A 24,517-nucleotide genomic window follows, 5' to 3' on the forward strand; every position below is an offset into this window, starting at 1 on the left:
TATATGTCAATCTTTGATAACATTTACTAGCCAATGCTTCCTTTAGCTGTATAATTCACAATAGCATTTTTGTACCACAGTTTTTTTAAGTCAGGATTCTAGACACAGTAACTAATTTTTTTTCTTTTATGTGGAAAAAGAACACAGGGTTGATCTCAGATACACAGATAAAGTAGGCATTTCCCTACAGAGTCTAACTCTAGGGAGATTATAAAAGCAAATAAAATGAAAAGTATTCTTTAATTCCTGTTTTTGTTGTGTGTCCCAAATTTCACCATTTTGAATATTGTCCTGTTCTGTTAAAATCATATATGCTTGAAAATGTCATTACAGTATCAAACTACAATGTGTATGAGATCTGTCATGTCACATTTATGTTGACTAGTGGAACAGAGTAGCATTAAATAATGTTTTCCCTCTAGAAGGAAGAGTGAGCTAAAGTGAAAACTGACTACCATATAACTCTGTGATAGCATAATTTCATTTTTAAGCAGAAATATTTATGTAGATTTCTGCCTCATTACTGCACTGTGAGTTCTTAAAGAGAAAAAGTTTTTTTTTGTTTTTGCATTTGCATCATTAGGACATAAAATCATAGGTGTTCATAAAATTGTATTAAAAATTGGTAACTAAAATATAAAATAGCAATATCTTCTGGCTGGCAAAAGTGCTTAAAAACAAAATAATACATTCTTGGCAAAAGTTGGAATGATACATTCAAACATATAAATGTGCTTGTGGACTTTGCAGGAAAAAATGACTAATGGGCCTTCATACTTTACAAATGGATAATGTATTTGATGTTGGATATCATATATCATTTGGTGTTTTTATCATTGTACTGCAGATTTGCTTAGTCAACTTTATATTAGTTGCCTTTGTTTTCTCCTTTCTTATCTAGCCATTTTCACCTTCTATGCTTGGCTTATTCAGGTTCAGTGGTACAAATATTGAGTAACAACTGTTGATGTTGGCATACTTTTCACAACCCCTCTGTGGCCTTTCTCCTCATTACCTTATCTGACACTCCTTTCACTGTATTTTTACTATTCCTGCAAAACAGACTCTAGTGAAATATAGGAGCCATAGTGTAATCCTCTGTCTACTATTTTTCTCATAGTAGAAACTGTGGCTACATCTGGGATATCATTAGCAAGCTAAATGCTGACTATCAAATCTTGGATTGTGGCCTTCTATGAGTCATTTGTCTGTTGAATAAGGTGTGTACAATGTTGGAAAGAAATCATAGCAAGGTCTACACTGGAGTGCCAACAAGTTTTTCAAAAAGAGTTACCACACCCAAACAAGCATTTTTTCAAGAGCTAACATTAAGAGTAATTAACATTTAATATACCCCCACTTGTTTGTCCATTAAGTATTCTTGAAAACTAACATTTTAGCCATGTGCGTCAGTGCTCAGTTTAGCCCCTTGATCTTTTAAGTGTTTGTCTTTATTAGGTTTGTCTTCTCTGAAAAGAGACCTTTTTAAATATTAATTGCTTTTCATACAAAGTGAACCTACTCTGTGGAGGTTGATGGTTTAGTTGAATTAACATCAGCATTGTGGTCTCTTAACAGGCCTCTCCTCATTATAGAGAAGACTTATTCAGGGAATGAGGAAGAGCTCAGGGCTCTTCCTTGTACAGACCATTGTTTTCACTACTAGAATATCCCCTTAAGTATATATTCTTAAACAGGGTATTAATACATTTTTGTTGATAGTCTGTTACAGTAAGAGGGAAACTTCTGGTGAATCTTTCATCTACAACAATATAAAAACTATGCAATTTTATTTTTTCCTCATTTTTTCACCTTTTTTGGTCAGATAAAAATAGCCAGATTTTTAAATTATTATATAATTTTCCATGAAATTTTTTTGTGCATAATTTGTTATCAATACTCTTCCATGTACTTGAGAATACCATATTTAATGTATATCAAGTTAAATGATGTTGTGATACCATTTGTTAATGTTTCATATGAGGATAATTGTCCTAAGTCAAACAGATAAGCCCTATCAAAAGTGTGTACTGACACATTTGATAGGAAGCCTGTGGAGAAAGAGAGGGCTGATGGAGACTGAGTTTCTTTCTTGCACATAAATAGTTATTCTCTTACTTGAGAGACTTTGCACACTTGTTCTATACAGCTGCAAAACCTTTGCCCATTCCAGCTGCTCACTCCTAAACCCAGTCTGGTTGATCAGTCTTGCAGCTCATTATATTGATACACTATTTTAGGTGTGATCAATCCTTAACCCCAAGGAGGGAAAAAAGGAATCCCTTTCTTTGTTTGATTCCATATTTTTAAATATAGTCTAAGATTGCTTTAGCTATTTTAGCTATTGAAAATAAATCATAAGGGTGACTTTAGTTATTACACAGTGTGAATCTTTTTGCAACTCACCTTTTCATACCATGTTAGGTTTCTGAAATGTACACTAGCTGTGTGTAGGTCTGTTTTATGCATTTGAAAGGCTATTCTGCCCTGTATAAAGGTCCTATTGTGTGTTCATTCCTTCCTGTCTGGATGAACTCTGAATGGTTTCCACCCTTTTGCTCTTACACATGGTGTTTCAGTGAGCAATACAGCACAGCGGTTAACAACATTGACTCCAGAGCTGGATTGCTTGGGTTTGTAGTTCTACCACTGCTAGTTACAGGACCTTGACAAGTCATAAAACCCAGTGCTCAGTTCACCCACCTGTTAAATGAAGCATATTTCCTATGAGGTAGGCATATTATGAAGATAGCAGAGTAAAAACACATGAAAGACTTAAACAGTACCTGTCACATAAGAAACACTATACAAGTGTTCCATTTATTAACATGACCCTTTTACACGCCTCCTTACATATAAATGTGACACATTTTCATGTGTAAATGTCTAGAAGGGTAATTTCTGGGCCACAGCATAAGGATATATTCAGTTTGGCCCCCAAATTGTTAAATTGTTCTCTAAAGACATTGTAACAACTTATATTTCTATCAGTGCCATGTAAATTACTGTTTATCCTCATCTTCTTCAACACTTCGTGTCATCAGATTTTTTTACTATTTTTTATCTGCTGATTTTAATTAGCATTCCCTGATAAAGAGTAAAGTTGAAAATCTTTTTAAATTGGCATTTCTTGGAGTTTTCAATTAATATACTTTGTACAAAACAAAATGTATGACAGTGGATATGAGCATATGAAATTAAAAGGAAATTCACTTTTTACCTCTAGGAAGAAGGAGCAGGAATGGAATGGGAGAGCGGGTTTATATGCATCTGTAACATTTTTTTTCTTTAAACAAAAAAGTTTGAAAAAATATGGAAAATTTTTATTGTTTTAATTTGGATGATGAGTAGCTGTTTATATTTTATATTATAATATATATTATTTATATATATTATATAAAAGCCAGCATTTAGACTTCCTTTTGATTAGACATACTTTTGTATTTCTCACTCTTTGTGTGTGTGTTGGAGTTAGCAATAGATGTGTGTATTGGGGTAATGATGTTATAGGGGTGTTAGACAACACAAACTGAAAGGTAATATCGAAATAGCTTTTAAGAAAATATCACCTTCCTATAGATGACTGATAAGTGATAGCTATATTCTAAATATAATTAAGAAAATTAGTATGTGCAGGGAAGCAAATTACTTACGGTAAAACTTTAATTATAAAAGTATAAATGGGAAAATGAAAATAATATCTAACATGAAAAATATATTTGGAGCATAATAGGAGCAAAAAGGAGAAACTTTTTCAGGTACTGATAATCATCTCATCAATTATGGTGTGATGATAAAACAATAAAATATCCTATAGAATATCATATTTAAAATGTTTTACTACAAAATTAATTAGATCAATAAAATTTTACTTGGCTATAGCATAAAAAGTTCCTTTCTTTTCACTTTTAGAAGAATTTCTGTTTTAGATAATATCATTAAAATAGGTGAAATGTTATTGACAATGAAGGGAAGCAAATGTCATAAACCCGCCTGCTATCATTGCTTATCCATGTAAATATGTAATATTTAATTTGGGGAAGCAGTAATATATTTGTAATTATTAATGTAGTTAATATGGAAACTTTGGTTCTAACATGGACAAATTATATATGGTATAACCTCATCTAGGTAATTTTTCTTTAGTCTCTATTGAAAAGTTATGAGTTCAGAGTAGAAAATGCACTTTAAGTTTCATCCTTTAGAATGTAAAGACTAAAGGATGGATTCTTTTGAAAAAATTGACTAGAACTCTTGATTCTAGTTTCAAGGGGAAGTGTCATAGAATCTTTCATGGAACTAAAAAATCATTAGTGTAGATTTATCCACTTCTTTTGCTTTGAAGTGCTCACCTCTCTCAATGTTGCAAAATTTCATGTGAATGTGAGGTCACCTTTCCATCATATTTCTTAACATGTTTCATATAATAAACTTTTATTATCTTGAGAAATTTTCAAATTTGTTCTGTTCTAGTACTTTCTGATTCAAATTGTCCAACACAGTGTTATAATAATTTATGAGACTGTTTCATTGATATGAAGATAGAATAATATGTGATAAAAGTATGGTTTTCTTAATTTCCCAGATCCCAAAGAACAAAGTCTTATGTCATTCAGGCCTGGCAATTTGAAAATCATAACCATTTGAAAATTAGGTCAGTTATGGATCCATTAATCAAATACATTTAAAAAAACTTTAGTGAAGTAAATTGGAAAAACAAAGATACTCATTTAAAGTGTACAATTTGATAAGTTTTGACATATATGTATATATACATACCATTAAAAATCATCAGCACAATCAAGGTAATGAGGATACCCCAAAAGTTTTCTCTTACCCCTTTTAATCCTTCACCCCCACTCTTCTATCTCCAGTTAGCCAGTGGTCTGTTTTCTGTTACAAAATATGAGTTTGTATATTCTTGAATTATATATTTTTGTTAATGAAGCATATTCATTATACCGCAAAAGAGAATTCCAATCCAGTTTGTAATAGAGTGATATACTAATTCTAAATGATTTTTCTATATTCATTCATGTCCTTGGGAAGTGTCCAAAACACAGCTTATTTCTATCCATAATCTTTAATCAAAACTTACCCAATTGACTTTGGCTCTGGCCAAGATGGAGTAACAGGGGTAGATGAGTTGCAAGCAGATTTGTCTATTAGTTATCTATTGCTGTATGACAAATTATACCAAAACTTGGCAGCTTAAACAACAATCATTTATTATGTCACAAAATTTCTGACGGTTGGGTATCTAAGAGTGGCTTTGCTAGGGAGTTTTGGCTTCTGCTGTTCATGAGGTTGCTCTCACTATCAGTGAGGAATGAAGTTAAATGCTTGACTGAGGGTAGATAGTCTGTTTCCAAGATGACTGACTAGTGTGACGATTGGCTAGAGGCTCCAGTTCCTTGCTTTAGGAAGGCTTTGGATTCTCACCTTTTGGGCTTTTTATAAGACTGTTAATGATAGTATCAGCTTCCCCCAAATTGAATACTATGAAAGAGAGAATGAGCATGACCAAGGTAAAAGCCACATTTTATTTGACAGTCTACTCTTAGAAGTCATGTGCCATCTCTTCTCCCATATTTTACTGGTCGCACACAACTACCCTAGTCTACTGTGGGAGGGGACTACGCAAGAGTATATCAGGAGGTGGGGATCACTGGGGCCGTTGTGAAGGCTGGCTGCCGTGATATGTTTGGCTATATAAAGTCAAACTATTCGACAAGTTTTAAGACTCTTGTGTAATCAGCCCATAAAATCTATTTTAGCAGTATCCATTTGCTTATAATTTATGAGCTGACTACACAATAGTTTTACAGTTTTATCGAATAATAACTTTTAAAGCATGTATGTATTTAATAATTTTGGAACAAAAGAGAACCATCTTTATAGGTTAAACCTTCAGTGTGTTGTAAAAGAATCTGAATCTTATTTACTCATAAGGATTACTTGTAAGGACTAATAATAAACATTAAAGATTAGCTAATTCAATATTTATTTTTTCCATGCCCTGCAGTGACAAAAGGTTGTTCATTTTGGAGATTATTAATATGTTGTTCACACTGTTCAATGTATTTCCAATATTTTAGGTGTAAATGTATCTTAACAATTAATGTTGCTTTAAAAACTGGTATTGGGAAACATAAAGAGGATATCATTAAATCTCACATTAGCATACTTTCAGAAGGTCATCTAAAGCTGAATTATAGCTTGTGGCTAAACCCTAATAAAGACTCAAAATATTAATGGATGTTCTCATATATTAATGGTAAGAGAGTATGTGACTCAAAATAAGCCCCCAAATGCAAACAATAAAAACTAAATTGAACACAGCATCAAAAAATCTGTCAGTAAAATCATTGTGCCCCACCCTATGGCACATGCTATTCCCAAGGCAGAGCAGCAAGCTCCAAAGCTTAAGTTTTGGCAAAGGTTTTCATCATTCTCAAACCTTTTTCCAGCTCCAAGATCTGTGTTCATTTTCATTATTATTTTTATGCCCATATCCCACTGCCTCATTCTCTGCTGTTACTTATCACTTTATGACATTAGGATTACCTGCAGAATTGGATGTAATTTTAACTGCACCCAAAACCAGAGCAGCATATAAAATGAGTAGGTGAAATAGCTTGCCTTTGCTTAGTGAGTTGTGGGGATGGCCGGCTGTGGGGTGGGAAGGACTGTGTATGTCTGCTAGCTGACAAAACTGAGCAGATTAACAAATTTTGACTATTCTGCTCCCATGACAACACTTTATTTAGCGATATTTCAGTACCTTGTTAAAACCACAGCAGTCACCGACTCTGCAAGGCAGCACAGTGACTTCCCAGACTCCAGTGAGTTCCCTGAGTTTGACAGACACAGATTCACTCAAGCACGAACACAAGAAATCGCAGAGTGCAAGACAATGGGTATCTATTTCTAAGAATGAATATGGAACCTGTTTCATTTTTCACCTTCAACTTCTTCAAGGTGATTTTTGATTAAATGAGGAATGTCCATATTAAGAAGCAATGTCTTGTTTCCTAAGTCTGGTCCTTAAGTCAAAGTGCTCTAATTAGATCAATTTTAGCCATTCATTACATTAATCAGTATTTATTAAGTTTCTCTTTTCTTTCTTTTTTGTTTTTTTCAGACAGGGTCTTGCTCTGTCACCTAGGCCAGAGTGCAGTGGCATGATCACGGCTCATTGTAGCCTCGACTTTCTGAGCTCAAGCAGTCCTCCCACCTCAGCCTACTGAGCAGCTGTGACCACAAGCATGCACCACCATGTCTGGCTAATTTTTTTTATTTTTTATTTTTGTAGAGATGAGGTCTTGCTGTAATGCCCAGGTTGGTCTTCTGGGCTCAAGTGATCCTCATGCCTTACTGAGTTTCTAATATGGGCCAGGTAACCATGTTCACAGTGGTAAACAAAAAAGGACACAGTCTCTGCTCTCTGAAAGTAAATACCTTGGCATTTGAGACAGAATGAAGGGGTACATAAACACACTTTAGCTAGTGGTAAGTGTAACAGTGAAAATCAGAGAGTAATTGAAGGGATGTGGGGTCAGAAAAAGCATCACTGTGGGGCTGACATGTGAATTGAGAAGAAAGGAAAATATCTAAGACAATAACAGTCTTGACAGAGAAAACAACAGGTGCAAAGGCCCAGAGGCCTGAAAAAGCTTGGCATGCTTGAGCAACAAAGTGGACATTGTAGCTGGAATTTTAACAAGATGGGGAGTCTTAGAAAATGGTGTCAAGAGGTGGGTAGGGTCTTCACATAGCACATCTTTAAAACTTCACCTTTCTTTTCTCTTTTTCTCAGTTAAATAACTACATAGAATATCTGTCGCCTTTTCAGCAAATTTCAAGATAGAACACTGAGGAGAATGCCATTATTTTGGCTACTTAAGAGTTGAAATAGCTTCTAATTTGCTGGTAATAGTTTTAACTTGCTGTCCTCCAGTTTGGGAGATACAGTGTAACAGGGAGCATACAGCCAAAATCTGAGACATCTGTAAGCAAGCAGTCAGGAGTAGCTTGACTATACATCCAAAAGTATAGTCTTCATAACTTTGCTTTGTGAACTGCTTCTGTTAATTTTTTATGAACAGTTGGCCTGAAAGTTGTTTATTTATAAATGTGTCATTTATTAGAATAAGATGTGCTCTATTCTGTTTAGGAGGGCCAATGGGGGTGCAGATAAGTGCTTGAATTCCATTCTCGGAGGTCATTGACTATCAAAATGATCAAGCTAACTGGATTTCACTGTAGTTGAAAATATAAATTGTTGGATTGTGTCATTGTTAAACTGTGATAAATTAATTTAAATGCAATAGATCTGAAGTTTCTTCCTCAGAAATTTCAGTTTAAGGAAATTTATCTCTTTATGTTTGTTGGTCTTACAAATTTATTCTGAAATAATCAGATTTTAAAATAAATAAATCTGATATTACGGTGACCAGTGGTTTTTTTTTTTTTTTTTTTTTGAGACAGAGTCTTGCTCTGTCTCTGGGGCTGGAGTGCAGTGGCGTGATTGCAGCTTACTGTGGCCTCAACCTCCCGGCTCGAGAGACTCCTCCCACCTCAGCCTCCCAAGTAGGTGGGACTACAGGCATTTTCCACCATGCCCAGCTAATTTATTTTTGTATTATTTGTAGAGATAGGGTTTTGCCATGTTGCCCAGGCTGGTCTCGAAATCCTGGGCTCAAGGGATTGACCCCCCTCAGCCTCCCAAAGTGCTGGAACTATAGGTGTGAGCCACTGCACCTGGCTGATTTGTTATGTATTATGTAAGAATTGAAGTTATTTCTTGAGAAATAAATAGATAACAATTTGCACTTTAATAGGTAATGTATCAGGCAAGTTGACACCCATTCATCTGGTTTGGCCCCTGACAGCTATGCTTTATTATATGGTTTAAATAGATTTGCATTAGAAGTGAAACTACTGTAAGAAAATAAATATCTCATGTAAATGAAAAAGTAAATACTATGATCTCTCATGAAAAAGACTATAAAAATGTAGCCTTATCATGAACTCCTTGTGCCTGCACCAGCACAAGACAGCATTAATTGGGCAAGAAGGGGCCTATCAGGCTGGATGACATTCCCCTTATGGCAGGTTCTTGTTGGGGGGCTGACCCACAGAGTGTAGACCATGAAGTCCCACAAAGCAATGACCTGTATGGACAGGTTAGGAAATTTGAATCCTTGCTTTAGGGAGTGAAGTGATTCTTTCACATGTATTTGCTTCTGAAATAGCTATTTCTTATTGGCTCCTTATTGTTTGTTGTTTGCACACATTTTAAAGAGGAAAATGTCTCACCTTAGAGAAACAGAATTGAATACAAAACATCACTGAGCTAGCACAAAGTTTAGCACATTGAATATATACTTACATATAAATATAAATATTATGTAAAGTTTTAGTTTTATAGATTTAGTTCAAATAAAAATAAACTGTTGACAGAAAGGCAGGATAATGATTCATAGTTAATATTTAAATGATTCAACATTGAATTCAACAGGTCTAGATTTTTTACCCTTACCTGCTGCTTGTTAATTTTGTCCTTGTTTCACCAGCTATAAAATTTGAATAATATAGTGTTAATTATTTAGAAGAGTAATGTGTGGATGTAGATATATGTGTGTAATACACATATATTGTAGAATTAAATTTATTATATAAGGGGTCCTTGAAGTACTGCAAGCATTAGCACAGTGCTTAGCACTCAACAAATACGAATATCATTGATAATCATATTTTCTCCTTTTTGTGCCCCCAAGGTACTCTTTGGACAAAGTACTCTTGGACATTTTGTATTCTACTATTGTAATATCATTCAGGACTAAATCAACTCTAAAATAAGTTTTTACATCTATTTGGAAACCTAGATCTTCCTTTTTGAGGGCTATCGTTTTGCCTAGGAGGCCTTCTTTGGCTTGGGTTAGCTATGATTAAGAGGGCAAGAAAATGTTTCCCTTCTGCCGTGCCTTTAGAGTATGTGTGGGTGGGAACAATGTGCTCATGTAACCTAACAGCATAGGAGAGGGAATTGCAGATTTGGTGAACTTGCCAAACCCCATAACAGTAGCAGATGGATGAGGTTTAGAGGGTGTTGTGCCCTGTCACCAGACCCTGCTGACTTTAGCCTGGCTTTTCCAAATTTCAGAGTCTTTGCCTTTATCCAGTTCCCTCCAGGCCCAGGAGGATCTTAAAAGTAAGATAGAGGTTTTCTAATGAACAAGATTGCTTGATGTGTCCCCTAAGAAGCACTCTTCTTTTGGCTAGGCATGTGTAGTATTACTTTGGAAAGTGTTTGTTTCATTCCCATGGCACATTTATATGTATTAATCCCTGAAGGCACTATGAAGTGTAATATGAATTGCAAGTTCATTTTCTTCTGTCATGTTTGACTATTTGGTGCTGATGATCTTTTGCAAAGAGAAAATAATGGATAACACTTTCTGTTCAGAACCAGAACATGAGTCTCGAATGACCTTAATTTTTATGCTTGGGCCAAAAAGTAGAGGATCCTGGCAATTTCAGTCACCATTGTTTGGTCTTCAGTGCTCATACCATTTCCTTAGGTGGTTATCATATTTTAGTTTAGCTCCTACATTTTAAATAGATAGTAGAGATTCATTTTTAATGCTTGATAAGCAGCCAAGTTTCAGGCTTAATTCACTTAGTCAGTCTTGAGTCATTGCTCTATCCTCACTTTCATAGCAAATATCATCATTGGGATTACACCACAATGTTTTCCTTCTGAATGAACAGTTTCACAGCTTAATATAGGTTAGTATTTTCAACATGCTTGATTTTCAAGCATGCTTGAATAAGTTTACATGCTAGAAACTGGCTGGGTGCGGGGACTCACACCTGTAATCCCAGCAATTTGGGAGGCCAAGGAGGGAGGATCACTTGATGCCAGCAGTTTGAGACCAAGCCTATGAAACATAGTGAGACCCTGTCTCTACAAAAGATTTAAAAAATTAGCCAGGTGTGGTGGTGCACACCTGTAATCCCATCTATTCAGGAGGCTGAAGCCGGAGGATCTCGTGTGTTCAGGGGCTCGAGGCTGCAGTGAGCCATGATCACACCACTACACTCCAGCCTGGGAAATAGAGTGAGACCCTGTCTCTAAAAAAATAAAATAAAATAAAATAAATGCTAGAAACTGGTTGAAAGTAACTGAACAGGAGGAACTGAGGATGTGGCACTCATTCTTGGAAATCAGTTCTGGTTAAAGATTAAAACAGACTCTGCTGCTGTCTTTCTTATGTAAATATAAAGTCCAAGGGCCACACATGACATAGAAAAAATATCACTTAGCTTCTGTAAAACTTTTTAAAAATTCCTTCTTTAAATGTTTCATGATTATACATTGTTTGCAAAGTAAATGAAACAGGTTAACTTCCTGGATGCTTACTTTTAGCAGAAATATATCAGATAGCAAACTTGCTGACAGATGAATCACAGCTTTGCCCACCTGTAATGAGGATACACTGCTGGATCCCAGGTTGGTCCCAGACTTTCAGGGTGGTATTTCTGGCCTCCAGTCCACTTAGGGAACTGATCATTCTGCATACCTCTCTGGGATTATGTTCTCCACCTCATCTGGCCCTTGATAGGTAAACATCCCCTACCTGGCCAAAAGTAACAAAGCTGAAAAAACTTGGCCAAATCTGGGAACTTGTTAGTCTGCCTCTTCCTGTACCAGAACCGCGTTCCAGATTGTTTCCCAGGGTCTGACTTCAGGCCACTGTTCTTTGCTGGCCTTGACCTCAGTACTTGTCTTATAAATGACTTTATGCTTTTCTCCCTCTGCCTCATCCCACCCTCGTTCTTTGTATCCTACCTCTAATTTTTATCCTTCAGACACTTTTTATTTTTCTCCCTTGTTTGAATATATTTTTAGTTTTCTCTAGGCCTTGCTTACCAACCTATCATACCTTCCAGACTCTCATGCTCCATTCCTTCCACTCTTTCCACCTCAATCTGTTCTACCTCACCTGAAGACTCTGATAACGAGAGCAAGGTCTTCCACCTGAGCCTGATGGGGTTTTGGCCAGCTGACATTCCTCCATCACCTAATGGTCTTAGCTGCCTTGTGTCCTGTCCACCTGAGATGACACCCCTTGCATCCAGTTCTTTGAGAGAAATAATTCTTATTATAGATTTGTCTTAACCGATCCGTCAGGTTTCCTTTCTCTGACTCATTTAGTCATTACTTTTTCTCAGCGAATTTCATGTTGGATATACAAACTAACAAAGCAGAACATACTTATTTCATTTACAATTTTGGTAAAGTTTTATTATGACACCTCATTTTAGGTGTCACTCCCATTATCTTGTTTAATCTGTTAACATGCAATAAAGACAATAATAAATAGAAGGGAATAAATTTTATGAGCAGAAAGTAGTATTTGAGAATTTTCTGTCCATCCATTTAGATAGAGATTTAATAGTTCTCTTAAAGGCATTATTTGTATGCCCAAACTTCTGCTTATAGACCATTGCCATTCTTTTTTTTTTTTTTTTTAAATCTAGATCTGTGCTTCTGGTGTGTAACCATGAATATAGGTTTGTATATCAAAACAAATAAATATCTACTTGTACTTGTATGAGCAAAATCACCCTTGAAAATCCTTTACACTTTGCTTGATACCTCAGAGTTTGTTTTGTTTTGCTTTTTCATTTGCTTAGGTTTTTAAAATTTAAATAAATTGCCACAATTTAAAAATCAGAAAGTTTCAACAAAAACAGATTTCAAGTGCAAAAAAAAATTTCGAGATCTCTCAACAATGCTACCTGCATTTCTTTGCCGCAACTATATGCTTGTGCTAAGGAGCATCTGCCTCTTGACATGGGAATGTGCTTGCTGCTTTGACACAATTCATCACTCACCTACATTACTTGCCTGGGCTTTATAGACATATGAGTTTGTGCTTCTTGTCTTAAAGGAGAAGCATAGTTGGAATCAAAGAGGTAAAGGCATAGACTTCCACCCAGCAATGCTTTTCTTTTAAAAGAAAATAAAATATGTCCCCTACCCCAAAATACAAAGAATAAAATAACAGTCTTTCATAGTACCACTACCTAGAATAAATCATTATTAATATTTTGGCATATTTGTTTTCAGATTTTTTCCCCTGACTAATCCCATTTTTGTCCTGTAGAATTTTATTTCTATATGCAGGGGTGAATTTCTTCTCAAGAAGTCTCCCTCATTCTTAAAAATTTACTACCTTTTTCCTCAAGAGATATAATAATCTTGGTTTTGTAAAGTCCATTAGTTTTGTGCCTAAGGCATTAGACTTTCCTCAGATCAGAGACTCTCATGGTTCCTAGTCAGACCATTAGGCCCAAGTCAAAAACATGGTTATCAGTTAATTTCATAGGGATTTAAATAGGATAAAGACACAGCTCTAAATTCTTTAGTAGGTTAGTTTGTAAGTGTTCATAAATGTGGAGCATTTCAAGCCAGATTCATCTTAGTCCTGACCTTACTTGGTTAGAGAGTTGTCAGGCCAACTTCAAGCCAATGGAAGTGAGATATGAGTATAATCAAGTAAGCATCCAGACCAAAGTTGAGAAATTCAGCTGCCCTTCATGTGTGGTATCATATCCACAGTCCCAAGTCACCTCTATTGCCCCTAAACCTTTGTACCCAAGAGCTCTCCCATTAAGAATGAATGTGAATCCATTTGACTTTTGCTCCAGCTACTTACATAATGATCAACCTCTGATTTGTAATTCCTGTGCATGTTAGCAATTCTATCTCAGGTGTTTAGGATGCAAATAATTTTTTAAAAATTAGTACTTGGCCTCCTTTGCTTGCTCCCAAAGGAGAATTTAATACATAGTATGACTGTGACATATGTATTTATTAAAGTATAAAATATTTTTTCAGTTAGGTGAAATATAGAACTCAACAGTTTGGTATATAGTTGGTGTTCAACTGACGTCAACTTCTTCCTTTTTAAAAATATGTACTATTCTAGCAATATCATGGATTAAATGGGATTCTGATAGCTTCAGTTTGTGTTTTATTCTAAGTGTTCTAAGTGTGATAGGTCATTGTAAAGTTTTGGTTCCTGGGTAGAGGGTAGACTGTAGTGTGAATAGTGGCCTCTTGGGATAGTGGAAGCAGAGAGGACAGTTTAGAGGCCTTTGCAGAAGTCCAGGTGAAAGATGGTGCTGATTTTAACTAGGAGATTAGTAGTGGGGAGACGAGGTTTCAAGGTTGCCCTGTATTTTGAAGGTAAAGCTAACAGGACTTACTGCTAGATTGGATGTTATGTGTAAGGAAAAGAAAGGAGTCAAGGAAGATCCCTGGGTTGAATCATTCAAGCTTTATTGATTTCTTTCCCTTAAGACACCAATTATCCACGTTATTTCTACCTTTAAGAAATCACCTTTGAACCATTTTCTGTTATTAAGTGGCTTCTCATTCCTCCTTTTCTGTCACCACCTACCTGTGGAAGGTTACAGATTATACCTGTTTTGTGAACTTTCTAACAGATTTTGAAATCCCTGTTCTTTCATCAAACTCTCCTGATTAAGGAACCAAAGACCAGACTATTTCCACATAGTTTGTTCAGTTGGAAGGAAGGGTTTCCATTAGCTATTCCGTTCTCAACCAAGTTACATATGTTGCCTCCTTGCTGTGGTGCACTTATCTTTTATTTGGACAATACCTGTTTCCATTCATATATTTGCTCTGCAAGTCTTAATTCCGTGTTTCAATATATGCGCATCAATATAAGTGCCCATCTTTGATTGTTAGCACCTAGAGGGCAATTGTTGTCTTACTTGTGCAATTAGGTTCTAAATAAATCATTTTTAAGCGATGATAACATTTTGATTCCAACGTAGTGGCTGTATTTGATAAGAACTTTAATCACATTTTCTCCAGTAATTAGGCTCTTTTTGGCTGACATTTAAAGTGATGGAATGGTATCTTTAGAACATCTGGATTTTTCAGAAGGCAGCTTCTGCTTTTAGTTTTCAAGTGTTGGCCTCTTTACCACGCTGAGTTCACAAGTTCTCCATTTATGACGGCATCATGCCTTTGCCATTCTGCCACATGCATCACATAATTCTTGTTACTGGAAAGCCACTTTTGTGTTTGAAACTATTTCGAAAGGGATGGAAAAATCCCTTATTTTAAGAAAAATTGACATCTTATGGTAGTAATCTAAAATTTTCATTGAGTTGGCTTCAATACTATGTTTTTATGAACCATGTGTAGCAAAAGGAATTAATTTTCTTTGAGTATCACCACACAGACTTTTAGGAACCAAGAATGATTTATTTACTTAGTGTCTAAGATTTACCAACTTAAGAATGGAAAAATCCTATTGGATCATAAGAGACTGTTCCCTTCCCTACTGCAGGATTATGTGCTACAGTGTATTTCCTAATCTTTGTTCTTTTTAATAACATTCTTCCGGTATTCATTTGAAAGTCATTACTCCAAAATATTTCCATGAAATTATAATATCATGCCTGGTTTTAGATGGAGATAAATTTCTGATGTTTGTTTTATAATATCCACCAAAGTTTATTTTTTAAAAATATTAAGCAATATTTATCTCTTTAAAATGGGACAATTATACTAGTCCCCTACCAGTTTAAATAATAGCAATATTTTCTTTTACTTTACTAACTTTATTATTTTTGGATTAGTGATATTTTGCTTGGAACATACTATGGACTGCAGATTATTTCTCAGATATACTTTAGAAAGAAATTAGCATGGACCTCAAGCCAACAGGCAAGCAGATCAGGGTTTGTTTTCTTTTAAAATTTTTTTTATTTTTAATTTTTGTGGGTACCTAGTAGGTGTATGTATTTACACAGTACGTGACATGTTTTCATACAGGCATGCAATGTATAATAATCACATCATGGAAAATGGGGTATTCATTCCCTCAAGCGTTTATCCTTCATGTTACAAATAATGCAATTATATTTTTTTAGTTATTTTAAAGTATACAATTAAATTATTATTGACTATAGTCACCCTGTTGTGCTGTCAAATACTAGGTCTTATTCATTCTATTTTTTTGTACCCATTAACCATCCTTTCCTTTCTGTCCAACCCCCAACTACCCTTCTCAGCCTCTGGTAACCATCCTTCTACTCTCTATGTCCATGAGTTCAATTGTTTTGATTTTTAGATCCCACAAATAGGGAGAACATGTGATCTTTGTCTTTCTGTACCTGGCTTATTTCACTTAACATAGTGATCTCCAGTTCTATTTTGTTGCAGATGATAGGATCTCATTCTTTTTATAGCTGAATAGTACTCCATTGTGTATGTGTACCACATTTTCTTTATCCATTCATCTATTGATGTACACTTAGGTTACTTCCAAATCTTGGCTATTGTGAGTAGTGCTGCAACAACCATGGGAATGCAGATATCTCTTCAGTATCCTGATTTCCTTTCTTTTGGGTATATACCCAGCAGGGGGATTGCTGGATCATTTGGTAGCTCTATTTTTAGTTTTTTGAGGAACCTCCAAACTGTTCTCTGTAGTGGTTGTACTAATTTACATTCCCAGCAACAATGTCTGAGGGTTTCCTTTTCTCCACATCATCATCAGCATTTGTTATTGCTTGTCTTTCGGATATAAGCCAGTTTAACTGGGGTGAGCTGATATCTCACTGTAGTTTTGATTTGCATTTCTCTGGTGATCAGTGATATTGAGCACCTTTTCATATGCCTGTTCACCATTCGTTTGTCTTCTTTGAGATATGCCTATTCAGATTTTTTGCCAATATTTTTTTTTCTAGAGAGTTGTGTGAGCTCCTTATATGTTCTGGTTATTAATCCCTTGTCAGATGGGCAATTTTCTTCCATTCTGTAGGATCTCTCTTCACTTTGTTGATTGTTTCCCTTGCTGTGCAGAAGCTTTTTAATTTGATGTGATCCTGTTTGTCCGTTTTTGCTTTGGTTGAATATGCTTGTAGGGTATTACTCTAGAAAATTTTGCCTAGACCAATGTCCTGGAGAGTTTCCCCAATGTTATCTTGTCAGAACTTCATAGTTTGAGGTCTTAGGTTTAAGTCTTTAATCCATTTTGATTTGATTTTTTTTATATGGTAGGAGATAGGAGTCTAGTTTCACTCTTTGGCATATGGATATCCAGTTTTCTCAGCACCATTTATTAAAAAGACTGCATTTTTTCTCAGTGTATGTTCTTGGCCCCTTTGTTGAAAACAAGCTCACTGTAGGTGTGTGGATTTGTTTCTGGCCTCTCTATTCTGTTCCATTGGTCTATGTGTCTCAGTTTACACTGTACCATACTGTTTTGATTACTACAACTGTGTGGTATAATTTCAAATCAGGTAATGTAATTCCCCTAGTTTTGTTCTTTTTGCTTAAGACAGCTTTGACTAATCTGGGTCTTTTCTGGCTCCATATAAAGTTTAGGATTTTTTTCCATTTCTGTGAAGAATGTCATTGGTATTTTCGTAGGAATTGCATTCAGTTTTTAGATTGCTTTGGGTAGTATGGACATTTTAGTAATGTTGATTCTTCCAATCCATGAACATGGAATATCTCTCATTTTTGGTACCCCCTTCCATTTTTTCATCACTATTTTATAGTTTTTATTATAAAGTTCTCTCACTTCTTTGGTTAAATTAATTCCTAAGTATTTAATTTTATTTGTGGCTACTGTAAATGGGATTACTTTTGTGTTTCTTTTTCAAACTTGTAACTGTTGGCATAAACAAATGCTACTGATTTTTGTATGATGATTTTGTACCCTTCAACTTCACTGAATTTGTTTATCAGTTCTAAGATTTTATTATGGAGTCTCTAGGTTTTTCCAAATATAAGATCACATAATTTGCAAACAAGGATAATTTGACTTCTTTTTTTCCAGTTTGGATGCCCTTTATATCTTTCCCTTGTCTGATTGCTCTAGCTGGGACTTTGAGTACTATGTTGAATAATGGTAGTGAAAGTAGGCTTTTTTGTTGTGTTCCAGATCTCAGAGGAAAGGCTTTTGGTTTTTCCCCATTCAATATGGTGCTAGCTGTGGGCCTGCTATATGTGGCTTTATTGCATTGAGATGTTTTAATTCTACATCCAGTTTTTTGAGAGTTTTTATTATGAAGGAATGTTGATTTTTATCAAGTGATTTTTCAGCATCGATTAAAATGATCATTTGGTTTTAGTCCTCCATTCTTCTCTTGATATATCACATTGATTGATTTACCTATATTGAACCATTCTTGCATCCCCAAGATAAATCCCACTTGACCATGATGAATAATGTTTTTAATGTATTGTTGCATTCAGTTTGCTAGTATCTTATTGAGGGTTTTTTCATTAATATTTGTTGAAGATATTGGCCTGCATATATGTTTTTTGACATGTTTTTGTCTGGTTTTGGTATCAGGGTAATATTGGCCTGATAGAATGAGTTTGGAAGTATTCCCTCTTCCTCTGTTTTTTCAGAACAATTTGGGTAGGATTGGTATTAGTTCTTCTTTAAATGGTTGGTAGAATTCAGTGAAGCCATCAGGTCCTGGGCTGTTTTTTACTGGGAGAAATTTTATTACAGCTTTGATCTCATTACTTGTTATTGGTCAGTTCAGGTTTTGGACTTCTTCTTGGTTCAGTCTTGGTAGGTTGTATGTGTCTAGGAATTTGTCCATTTCTTCTAGATTTTCCAATTTATTGGCATATAGTTTCTCATAGTAGTCTCTAAAGATCCTTTGCATTTCAGTGGTATCAGTTATCAGTTGTAATGTCTCCATTTTCAACTCTGATTTTATATATTTGGATCTTCTCTCTTTTTTCTTAGTTAGTCTGGCTGAAGGTCTGTCAATTATGTTTAACTTTTCGAATACCAACTCTTTGTTTCACTGATGTTTTGTATTATTTTCTTCATTTCAATTGTATTTATTGCTGCTCTCTTCTTTATTATTTCTTCTACTAATTTTGGATTTGGTTTGCTCTGCTTTTCTAGTTCTTTAAGGTGCATCATTAGGTTGTTTATTTGAATTTTTTTGCTTTCCATTGTTTTAATGTAGGAAAAGGCAGAATTGCTAGACTCATGATCCGGACATGAATAACTTGAGTAATAATATACATAATTAATATTCTGAAGCAATTTGGAGATGCACATCTAAACCTGCTAAGCCTCTCTGTAGGTGGCTTCCGTTTACGGTCCATGATTTCCAGAGGATAGTACACCAGCACTTAATTGCCCATCTTTTCCAAGTTAAGATACATATATGAAATATAACTCAGGAATAGTTTAAATTAATCCACATATTTGTTATTATGGGCATTATGAATACATTACATGGTGGCATTGTTGACATTTCTCTTTTTAACCTCATGGTGTACATATTTTATATTCCCAAATATAGTTTGGAAATCAAATGACTTATAAAAAACAAAATAGTTAACTTTGGAAACAAAAGAATGAGCCCTAATGTTATGTATCACTTTGGTTGGATTCACATATTGTCCTGAAGCAGTCTATAATTAAATAATCATTTAAATTAATAAATATTATTTTTTGTCCAGCAAACCAGATAAAAATCTGCTAATTTGCTACTTAAAAATTGGCAGTGGCTCTTCAGTGCCTCGAAAACAAAGTCTAACCTCCCTAACATAGTGTATGCTTTAGTACCAGGCCACATTTTAGTCCTACCTTCCATCCTTCCCTTTCTCACACCTTCTTCCTGCCCCACCCCTCATATGTTAGTTTGTCTCATATCTTTTTCCTTGTGGATTCCGCAATCCAAATTTTGCCCTTCTGCCAACTGTGATTTCTCCCATCTTTACCTGGTGAATTGCTATTCATCCTTCATACCCAACCTCAAATGGCTGGGCATTTGAAGACTTTCTGGACTTGATTAGGTGGACCTGAAATATTTTATATTCTCTAGGGTTTTCTAAGGCAGAGATGAAACTTTCTTCATCTCTGTATTCCTTTCTTCATCTAGTACCTACCACAGTATCTGCTAGGTGTTCGATGGTAGGCATATTGTAGGAGCTTATGGAATTTGCCAAATTATTTTTTGTTTTTGAAATAGAGTCTTACTGTGTCACCCAGGCTGGAGTGCAGTGGTGCAGTCTCGGCTTACTGCAACCTCCATCTCCCGGGTTCAAGTAATTATCCTGCCTCAGCCTCCTGAGTAGCTGGGACTACAGAGGTGCACTGCCATGCCAGGTTAAGTTTTCTATTTTTAGTAGAGACGGGCTTTCACCACGTCTCTCTGGCTGGTCTCGAACTCCCGACCTCAGGTGATCTGCCCACCTCCGCCTCCCAAAGTGCTGAGATTAAAGGCGTGAGCCACCGTTTCAGGCCGGAATTTGCCAGTAAATTAATGTTACGATAATCCATACATGGATAGATTATACTTTTTTATATTATTTAATTTAATTTTAATTTTTAATTTTTGTGGGTGCATAGTAGGTATATATATTTATGGGTTACATGAACTATTTGACATAGGCATGCAATGCATAATAATCACATCGGGGTAAATGGGGTATCCATCACCTCAAGCATTTATCCTTTGTGTTTCAGACAATTCAATTGTACGCTTAGTTAATTTTAAATGTATAATTTTTTATGATAGCCTGTTATGCTAGCAAATACTAGTATATACACATTCTTTCTATTTCTATACCCATAGATTATGATTTAATGACCACTTGCCAATATTTCCTATTCTGATTCTTCATATTTCACATATGTGAAGAAATCTGTGCCTATTGTATTTTGATACAGACTTTTTGCTTGCCTTTACTTTGAATTCAGTGGTAGAATTTTATTATAATAACCTAAGATAAATTACCTAATCTTATGTAAGTATATACTAAATATTGTGTATATGACCTTCTGCGCATTTGCCTGAGTGAAGAGTGATATATTATTAAAGGGACTCTCGGAAGCATTTAAGAAGCATTGCCTATTAAAAAACAAAGTGTAACATGAATCCATAGCTCTCCAGGTGTTTGGAATCTCTTTGGAGGAAACTCATACATGAAACAAACAAACAAAAATGTAAACACAGTTGAGTTAAAATGCTCAGAGGAATAATCACTATAGGAATTCAGAGAACGGTGTGTTGAGATTGTTAAAGAGTAAGGGAGGAAGTAGGATTTTAGAGTGATTTTAAGGATGAGTAGGAGAGGAGTATATTGCGGGAGATTGGGAGCATTAGAGCAGAGGAACAACCTCTGAAGAGAGTAAGAAATCTTTCCTTTCCTTGGTCCCTTCTTATGCCATCTTTTCTCTGGACAGTGTTCTTTGCCTGCTGCGTTGTTGCTCAGGGTCACATTAGCTTAGTTCTGGGAAAGCATCCAGTAGGAAACGTGTAAGAAACTTCCTGGCCATAGCAGAAAATTGCTGTAGTATCAAATTGCTTTGTTGCTTGGGCCTCACATCTGTTTCCTTGCCCTTTCACCAACCCCTGTGCTACTAAAGTGGATCTCCTGATTCCTGAGTCCTTGATCTTTTGACCATTCCAAAATGTTGCTATTATGCCTTGGTGCTCTCTGCCTGTTTGATTTCTCCTCTACCTTTCTTGTCTGCCCTCCTGTGACCTATATGTTGTAACGTTTGCCTGGCTGAAGTCTGAAGACTCAGACTCTTGGCTGGTTAGTATAGCTGGCTTACTGTCCAGCTGACCCACTCCATAGGTGATATTCCCAACCAGACAAATTGGAGTCCTGGTCTCTTGCCCAGCTTCTTGTTCTGTCATAACAACCAACTTGCTTGGTATGAAGGGTTCATTTGTGGGAATACTAAAAACTTTGTGAGAATACGCAAAAAGAAAAAAAAGAGAGAGAGAGACAGAGAGAGAGATAAAGCTAGGCTGTGGAAAGATTTGCAAGAAAGGTTGAAGTTTATATTTCGTTCTCTAGGCCAGTGACCTTCAAAGCTCAAGTTTGCACCTCAAAAGTAGGCAAGATGATCCATGGGGTATGGACAGAAATTATTATATTATAATGACTGGCTCAGTGTGTTTCTATCTTTAAAAAGTTTTTTTCTAAGAAATACAGTTATTTAAAATACAGAAGAAACAAAAAAACCAAACATTTAAAATATAAAATAAATTAAAAATACAAATGTTTAAATTGTGGATTGACCCAAGTCACCCCATGTGTCAGTTGGTCACATATCAACTTTGGTAACAGGCTTCTGGAGGAAAGAGTATGAACTCCGCGTCCTGGAGGCGCTGACAGCAGGACCTTACTCATTTATTCACTTTCAGCTTGTTTGAGGTATTGCTGTTTATGCGTGCCTAGATTTGCAGATTGTGTTTTTAGCCTTAAGCAAAATAACATTTGTAAAGTGGTCAAGTGCCTTTAAAAGATTCCTGCCAAGAGCCTGCAGGTTGAAGCTACTACTTGTGACGCAGTCACATGGAGGAGCTGATACTTGTGCTCCTAATACTAGCTTTAGCCACACTTAGAGCAAAAATCAGTGGTATTTTAATCAGATATAACCGAACTTCTACCACCAAAAGTTGATAATTTCCAAGAAGACTATTAGAAAAGTGAATGTATCCAAATGCCTTTGACAAAGAACCTCACCCTAAGTGTATATTCCACTTTGAGATAATGCACATTGTGAATATAGTATTATGATTAGCCAGTCATTTAAAAATCGTGTTTATTTCATTTTTATACTCAACCTTTAAAATGCCCACTTTTAATGGACACTTTTAGTGTCTATGTTTAGTTTTATATATATATATTATCTATCTATCTATCTATCTATCTATCTATCTATCTATCTATCTATCTATACACCCGCACACACCTGTATGTATTTAATTTTGAGAATAAACATATATATTATAGATAAATATTTATATTTTGGGCACATGATCAAAAAGTTTTCAGGGGATTATTCTGTGGTCATCTGATTGGAAATTTTTAGAGAATACAGGTACTCCCAGTGAGGGGTGGTTTCTTTAATAACAAGAAACTGAAAACTGACTGAAAATCTAATCTTTTATGAAAATTACTTCTTAGATGCTTTCAGAAATGTTGCTTCTTACCAATGTGATACATAAAACTAATCTCGTTTGACAGTGGTGATGACAAGTTTTTTAAATCAGTTTTCCTATGTATTCCTGTTACAGTTTTGGTTGTTTATTTGAACCTTGAAACACCAGAGCAAAAGGAGGATGATGTTAACCTAGTATGATATGGTTATTGTATTAGCTAAGTAGTAGCTATGTCTTATTTAATATTAAAAAACAGCGAGTAATTCGTGTGTTTTCTGTCCGTTCTACAAATAAACCTGGTAATGGAGTTTTTTCAGAGAACCATAACATCTGAAACACATTCGATGGGTTTACCAAAGAAAGTAATTATGGCTGTAAAATCTGTGTGACTATTTTTAAGTGAAGTTCTTCAGGAAAAGGGGGTAGACAGCATAATGAGAATTCTATTTTTAACTTAGGTCACTTTTTTCATGGACTGACAATGCTGTGACTTTTTCAGACAGACAATGAGCCATCTAGCTTTTGAACTCTTTCGTATTCTGTAAACATTAGGAAGCACCAGTGTGTCTCCTAATGTAAACACACTGATCCAGACCTCATGAGGTATATTCATGATCATTTACTTTGTTTATTCAAAGGTCATTAAAAGATGTGATTTAGATTTGTTTTCTTAATATTTCTGTGGAAACTAAAAAGCTAATCTACAATGTTGTTTTACATACAGGTTTACCTGAAAGGAAAATAAAGTTTATTTTAGCTTTTGGCAATTTTTATTGATATAAAACATATAAAGTGAGTCACACAAAAGTTGACCTTGAAACTTCTCATTTTTCATGTTAGTGGTTTTAATACTATTGCATTTGAAATTTTTAACTTTTAATAAAATTGGGTTAAATTGTATCCCTCCTTTTCTTTATATATTTATTCCGCCTCTGTTATCTTATCTTTCTGCATCTTTAGAAGATTATAAGCTTTTGGAATCAGAAACAATGTCATAGACTTTTCTTTTTTTTGTCTTCCCAGGAAGTTGATTAAAGTAGAAACTGTCATGGTCCCACAGTTTCCTCCAGTAGCTCAGGTTGAGGACAGATTATACATAGGACATAAGGAAACAGCTGCTAAGTCTCCTGTTGAGCAGCAGCATAAAAGCAGCATGTCAGGTCTGCAGTACTGGGTTCAAATCTTGGCTCTGCTAATTCTAAGCTTTATGGAGTGGGAAATTGACTCCATGAGTCAATCTCATGGAGTTGTTATGAAACATGTAAGTTTCCTAACAAGGTGCTTGGTAAGCGGTAAGTACTTCATGAATATGAGCTGTTTTTATTATCAGTATGATTACGTGGAAAAGAGAACCTTGTTAGCAGGGGTATTTAAGGAGAAAGTAACTTCTCAAAAAGACCAGTGGTGAAAGCAGAAAGGCTATTGCAGTGTGGATGCCAATGCCCCTTCTAAGGAAGCAAGCAGGAGGGAAAGGGAAAGGAGAAGCAGCTGGACAGAAGCACCTGTGTCAGCTTAA

The 24,517-nt window shown here is 35.4% G+C and overlaps 1 protein-coding gene across 12 annotated transcripts in view, besides 2 other annotated features; it reads left to right on the top strand.

Moving 5' to 3' along the window:
* Nucleotides 1–24,517, top strand: part of ADGRV1 (adhesion G protein-coupled receptor V1) — a 605,641-nt gene that overhangs the window by 329,009 nt on the left and 252,115 nt on the right. The gene's annotated exons all lie outside the window — the stretch shown is intronic.
* Nucleotides 6,606–6,750: an enhancer, noted in NCBI's record as "145 bp 5:90190300 sequence used in MPRA reporter constructs". NCBI's record gives its function as "activates a minimal TATA-containing promoter with rs4580808 allelic activity by MPRAs in UACC903 melanoma cells {active_cell/tissue: UACC903}" and the evidence as "EXISTENCE:reporter gene assay evidence [ECO:0000049][PMID:36423637]".
* Nucleotide 6,678: a transcriptional cis regulatory region, noted in NCBI's record as "rs4580808 or 5:90190300 MPRA-significant variant associated with a GWAS melanoma risk locus at 5q14.3". NCBI's record gives its function as "allelic transcriptional activity by MPRAs in UACC903 melanoma cells {active_cell/tissue: UACC903}" and the evidence as "EXISTENCE:reporter gene assay evidence [ECO:0000049][PMID:36423637]".

The sequence above is a fragment of the Homo sapiens genome, chromosome 5 (genome assembly GCF_000001405.40).
Source record: "Homo sapiens chromosome 5, GRCh38.p14 Primary Assembly".
Lineage (NCBI taxonomy): Eukaryota > Metazoa > Chordata > Mammalia > Primates > Hominidae > Homo > Homo sapiens.